The sequence below is a fragment of the Homo sapiens genome, chromosome 4 (genome assembly GCF_000001405.40).
Source record: "Homo sapiens chromosome 4, GRCh38.p14 Primary Assembly".
NCBI lineage: Eukaryota > Metazoa > Chordata > Mammalia > Primates > Hominidae > Homo > Homo sapiens.
In genome coordinates, this window is record NC_000004.12 from 14,884,780 (window position 1) to 14,891,704 (window position 6,925).

Sequence of the window (6,925 nt, forward strand, 5' to 3'; positions counted from 1 at the left end):
TACCTGAAAGGCTTCTTCTCCTCTCCCTTCACCAAATTATATTGTAATAATCACTTCTACCACCCACTTCCCCTGACCTCCCTGACTAGGCTAAACGAGCTATTGTAAAACCTCCTAGCTCCATGAACTTCATACTCTTTGTCCAAGTTAGAATTGTGCAAACTTTATATGATCCATTGATTAATATTTACCCTTCAGCAAACCTGACTATGCATCATTGTATCCTAGGGCTTACAGAAACACTGGATACATAGAAGGCAAATGCTTGATTAATACTCAGTGAATGAACAAATGAATAACTGAGTGGATGAATAAAGAAGTAATGTAGCAGATGCTAAAAATAAAAGAAAGCACTGAGCATTGCCACAGCACAAAAAAAGGGACACATATCTTTAGGAGGTCATAAGGGCACGGATTGTACCTCCTATATCTTTAGTGTGTCCAGAGGTTATGATGCATGCATATATGCAATGTACATTGACTGAAAATATTAAATAGCAACTAAATCTGCCTGGATGAGTGACAGGAGGCTTCAAGAAGACTTAGCATTTGACATCAGTCATAAAGGAAAACTAAAACTATGCAGATCAGGCCAGGCATGGTGGCTCACACCTGTAATCCCAGCACTTTGGGAGGCCGAGATGGGTGGATCACCTGAGGTCGGGAGTTCGAGACCAGTCTGACCAACATGGAGAAACCCCGTTTCTACTAAAAATACAAAATTAGCCAGGCATGGTGTTGCATGCCTGTAATCCCAGCTACTCAGTACGGCTGAGGCAGGAGAATTGCTTGAACCTGGGAAGCGGAGGTTGCGGTGAGCCGAGATCACACCATTGCACTCCAGCCTGCGCAAGAGGAGAGAAATTCGGTCTTAAAAATAATAATAATAATAATAATACAAAATTAGCCCAGCATGGTGGGGCATGCCTGTAATCCCAACTACAAGGGAGGCTGAAGCAGGAGAATCTCTTGAACTCCGGGAGACAGAGGTTGCAGTAAGCCGAGATCGCGCCATTGCACTCCAGCCTGGGCAGCAAGAGCAAAACTCCGGCTCAAAAACAAACAAACAAAAAAAGTATTTAGATCAAAGGGAGAAAGAGGCAGGCAAGTGGCATTTCAGACAGAAGAAAAGGCAGGTACAAAGGCATGAAGCCACAGAAAAGGAGGAAAAGTTCTTTGCAGAAAAAAGAGATTAGGTGAAGTAAACATGGAGATACACTTCCTAGATCCTCCTTCTGAGAGGGAAAAATTTTGTTTTCCCAGATGCTGGAAACATTCGCAGAGAAACATCTCCAGCGGTCAGCTCCTCAGGGGTGGCCTGGGCTGCAGAGAGCCATCTTACCCAAGGTCACACCATCCCAGAAGCAGCCCCCTCCCCACCACTGCTCAGACATTTGGGTCCACTGAGGGAAAATCTTAGCAGCAATTTTTCTCCAGAGCTCCCACTGGGGTAGGCAGAGGCCACCATTGGTACTGCATTACCATAGTTTATCTCTTCCCTCCATCCTTCCCCTCACAGGTGTTGATCTCACCTGAACACTAAACTCTGCACTTGAGTCTGCTTCTCAGAGAACCAGACTGCAAGCCTGGGTTATGCCATGAGTGGGTTTATGCAGAGGAATCAACTAGAAAGGTAGTTAAGAGAAGGATGGTGAGGGTTCTGCAATGCTGGGCCAATAGGTATGAGCTTACGCAGTTGGCAGTGAGAGACTGGGGGCCTTGTAATCGGAGGGTGCTGAGTTTAGGGTCTTTTATTGGAAAGACTTCTCTGGCTTCTGTGCAATGACTACATTAGAAGGAGGCAGAGAGGCGTGCTAAAAGGCCATTGGGTTAGTACAGGGAGGAGAAATGTGAGTTCCAAGATGGAGAAATAACCGATCATGGAGAGGAGGGGTGGTGTTGAGCAATTTAGGAGGAAAAATCAAAAGCCCCTCATGACACATTGACTATAGGGACAGAGTAAGGATGAATGGATAATGACACAGAAAGAGTGTGCTAATTCATTCCTAGGTGTGGCAGGGAGATTACTCCTAATTTAAAATTGCAACTTGCAAGAGGAGTTCTTTCTCCCAAGGCCTTTTCCAAGGCACTCCAGGTAGCAGAGAATTCAAATGGTAGCTAGAATTCTCCTTTAGCTTGAAATACATAATAAACCAGCAATGTCTTCTACAAAAAGCATCATTAACAAAGTTTGTGTTTGTTCATCAGTTAAGATCTTGGGGCTTTTTGCCTGATATCATTAATCGTCACGCTTGCTAAAGAACATTCTTCTATCAAACAGACGGGGATTCAAATAAAAGGAGCAAACATATGAATATGCAAGAAGGAAGGCCAAATTATTAATGCAGAATGAAGAAGAATCTGGCAGGAATATCCTTCATTCGACAAGTATTTATTGAGCGTCCTCTACATGCTAACCATTATGCCAGGGGCTGGGAATACAATGACGAGCAAAATGCTGCAGATTTCATGCCAGGAAGCAAGCACACATCTGAAGGAATTTTACATAAATACATAATGTGTTGCTGGTTCCAGCATGCCCCTCTTCATCGGTTTAGTTCAAATGTACTCCTATAACTCTTACTTTTGCACTGAAATTTCCTTCTGTTTTTTTTTCTCATTCATTGTGGCATAATAGAAAGAGTAGACAGGCATACCAATTGCCTTACTAATCATATGACCTTGAGTAAATTACACATCCTTCCAATGGGGCCAATTATACCAATCTCCGAGGGTATGCTTGAAAATACATTAAGATACTGTGTACCACAGCCAGTTAGCTATACAACATATCATATAAGCCTTTATGTGAATTCAACTATACCAAATTGGGATGGGAATGAGGGTAAGTGAGAAATAATAATTTAAATATATGACAAGGGCTGACTATATAATTTGTAGGGACCAGAGGAAAGTAAAATTGAGAGACTCCCTATTCAAAAATTAAGAATTTCAAGACAGTGATAGCAGAGCATTGGGCCAAGCACAGGGTTCTTCTGAGTGTGAGGCCCTTTACAATGGCACAGAATGCACAACCATGAGGTCGGCCCTGGACTTTCTTACTCCCCTGCATATCTAACATGGTGAATAAGTTCTATGATCAATATGATCTTAATTCTAAAATATATGTCTTGTTTACTTGGTTTTTGTTCACTTTGGCCGCTAACCAGAAGCGACCTTATTTTCATGGGCATAAAACCATATATGCAATCATTTGGCTTAAGGGATTTTCAAGGGTAGTTGTATTAGTCCATTTTCATGCTGCTGATAAACACATACCTGAAACTGGGAACGAAAAGAGGTTTAAGTGGACTTGCAGTTCGACGTGGCTGTGTAGGCCTCAGAGTCATGGTGGGAGGCGAAAGGCACTTCTAACATGGCAGAGGCAAGAGACAAATGAGGAAGAAGCAAAAGCAGAAACCCTTGATAAACCCATCAGACCTTGTGAGACTTACTCACTATCACGAGAACAGCACAGGAAAGACCAGCACAGGAAAGACCGGCCCCCATGATTCAATTACCTCCCCATGGGTTCCTCCCACAATATGTGGGAATTCTGAGAGATACAATTCAAGTTGAGATTTGGATGAGACACAGCCAAACCATATCAGTCGTTTTTACTCTATTTTCCCATTACACACTGGTTTCCTAAAGCCTGCAGGAGGTGAAAGCTCACCATAGCTGTCATTTCTGCTGAGCCTTTGACAGTAGGAGTCAACCTTGTGCCCAAGTCTGGATCACATGCTTTGCAGTGAGAACTTCATTCAAGCCACACAGCAAGCCTGCAGGATAAATAATACCATCCTCATTCTCTAGAGGAGGGAGAAACAGAGCCTCAGAGCAGGGAAGCAATTTGCTTAAAGTTACCCAGAAAATAAGTGGCAGATTTGGGATTCAAATACGGGTCTTTGGAGCACACTGTCCACATTCATTCACTGATATCTTAATAAATGGTTGTTCCTTCCAACTCTCTTCTGCAAATCTTGCCCTAACCTTTTGAAATGAAGAATTGTTTGGCAAATTAGGAACCTGATTTTCTGCATCCTGGTAGCAGAGAATGGCTTGCCAATTCAGTTCAGGCACGTAATGCTGGAGGCAGAGCAACAGAAGAGCCTGAAAGTCTGACCTGTGCTTCTAGAGCTCTGATTGCCACATGATGAAAACTCAGGGCTGACATCACCAGTCTCCAGCCTCCCAAACATGAGCCCATGTGGAGAGAATGTTATAAAGAGGAAAAAAATAAAGGTCATGTTAGAGTGAATGATAGGTATAATTAATGTTACTGACAATGAAAAGCTTAGGTGCTGAGAGAAAAATGAGTCAGCAGTGAGCTTGATGTTGAAACTACATGCTGCCTTGTTGCTCAAATACTTACCTATTAGGAAAAAAGAGCAATTTCCTGATCAATGCACACAAAATTCTGGGTTGAGAACACTAAGTGAAAAGTGGGAAAAAAGCCACTTGTGTGTTTTATTTCCAGCATGTGCACAGCCACATTTATGCATAATTTTGGGTTTGTCATTCCCCTTTATGAGTTTTTGTGATCTCAGTGTTTTAGCATGAAGGCCTTTCATAATCTGATCGTATCTTCCCTTTCTATGATCGTCCTCCCTAGTCTCTTCTCTAAATATCCAAATATTACTTCGTCATTCCAGAAGCAGCTCTACCTAGACATGAAGCCTTCCCTGGTCTCCAAATCAGAAATGCAGGCCATGAATGGGCATGAGCTGTTTGTTGAATGATGAGAAATTCAGTTTATTCCCTGATTTTAACTGGGAATGGCCTCATTCACCTCTCCACCTGGCAGGCATCTCCTCTCCATATTGACTCAATCACCTCTTTCTCCAGGTGTCCTCAGCACTTACTTCATACATCTATTATTGAGCTCAACAAGATGCACTGTACGACATATCTTTCCATTCCCCTAATAATATCTGATGTATCACTGAATTAATACATGGGGGTGTCTTCCCCATTAAACCATGGGATTTGTGAGAGTAACATCTTTATATTGCTCATCGTTGCAGCTCCCTCTGTGCTTGGCATAATATTTTGAACAAAATATGTGCTCAATAAATATTAACTAGATGTATTTACATCCATCAGGATTGCTTTTAATGATTACAGATCTGGCTTTTGGTGCCTCTTGTAAACAGAGGCAGTCTGATTATTTGATAACACAAAGATCTTACCAGACTGCAGGAGGGGTGTGAGGGAAAATATGTTCTGGACTGACACAGATGCTGCTGAATTAATAATTAAAAATTGCGTGCGATGTATAAATGATAGAACATCAAATTAGAAAGGACAACACAATGGTCTGTTTCCTGTTGAAAAAGAATTATCTGGTCCACTAATGAAGTAGAGCCATTAGTCTTGGCCATAGGAAATTAATAGCTACCTTCTTGTAGTGACTTGCCATGTGCCAAGTGTTTGCTGAGCCCTTTAGAATATTATCACATTAAATCCTTCCAACAGCCCTATGAAGAAGGTAGTACTTGTATCATCCCTTCCATATTCCTTTTTGGAGAGCAAGCTTGGGAGAAGTATGATAACTTGCCTAAAATTGCAGAGCCATGAAAGAACTGGATTCAAATCCAGGTATGTTGCTTCCAAAGTCCATGTTCTAAACTAGTCTGCTCTGTAGGTAAAATAAGGATGTCAGGTGATGTTTTTCAGCTCAGTTATAAGTGGAATCATCTATTCCATAGACTCCAGTCTCCTCATTCTACAAATGATAAAACTGAGACTCAGAACAATAAAGGAATGTAGGATCTTAGAATCTCATGGCTGAAATGAACATTAAAATTCATCTAGTCAAATATTCCTACATCCACCTGCTGACAATGTCTAACAACTTTGTTGAGATATAATTCACACATCATACAACTCACCCAATTTAAGTTACAATTCAGTAGTTTTTAATATATCCACAGTTATATGTTGATTACCACAATTTAATTTTAGAACATTTTATCACCCCCAAAAGAAATCTCATATCCATTAGCTGTGCTCCACATCCCAGCCCCAACCCCAGCCTTAAACAACCATGAATCTGTCTCCATGGATTTGCCTATTCCAAATATTTCATAGAAATTGAACTATACAATATGTGGTCTCCTGTGCTTGTCTTCTTTCACTTAGCATAACATATGCTTTTGAATATCTTGAAGTCACCTGAATACACAGCAGCAAATTTTTGGCAGCAACAATGAGTGGCTGGTGGGTGGGGAACATTTCCTCCAAATAATCTTCATTAGCCCCACCCCAATAGCTACCCCAAAATAAAAATAAAATTTAAATTAAGAGAGTATGTTTGATATTTGTTATGGTTTGAATTGTGTTTCCCCCTAATATTCATATGTTGAAGTTCTAACCCCAGTATCTCAGAATGTGAGCTCATTTGGAAACACAGGCTTTACAGAGGTAATGAAGTTAAAATGAAGTCATTAGAGTGGGCTTATATGATGGGTGTCCCCAGACACACGGGGAGAATGCCATATGAAGACTGGGTTTTGCCACCACAAGCCAAGGAACTATCAGATGTTAGGAAAGAGGCCCAGAACAGATCCTTCTCTCAGATGAAACGAACCCTGCCAACAGCTTGATTTTGGACTTCTGGCCTCCAGAACTATGAGAGAACCCATTTCTATTGTTCAGGCAACTCAGTTTGGGGTATTTTGTTGTAGCAGCCCTAGCAAACTAATACAACATTTAAACACAGCTTCTGCACAAATTTCCTAGTCATCGTCTCTGACAAGTACAATGCTACTCTGAGGCTCCTCGTCAGGCAAAATCTGAAAGTCAACATTTGTTTAAAATCAAATCCATGAGATTTTCACCTAAGCCTGGACTTCTTTCAGAGCTCCCTATTTCAGGCAATGGCAACACTAGCCAAACAAATATGCAAGCCAGAATTCTAGAG

At 41.4% G+C, this 6,925-nt stretch overlaps 1 long non-coding RNA gene across 1 annotated transcript in view; it reads right to left on the bottom strand.

The window, feature by feature from the left end:
* LINC00504 (long intergenic non-protein coding RNA 504) overlaps positions 1 to 3,390 on the bottom strand; it is a 417,705-nt gene extending 414,315 nt beyond the window's left edge. Inside the window, exon 1 of the long non-coding RNA NR_126435.1 lies at positions 3,280 to 3,390. This is a non-coding gene — a long non-coding RNA (long intergenic non-protein coding RNA 504). The remainder of the gene's footprint in view (positions 1 to 3,279) is intronic.
* Positions 3,391 to 6,925: the final 3,535 nt, after the last annotated feature.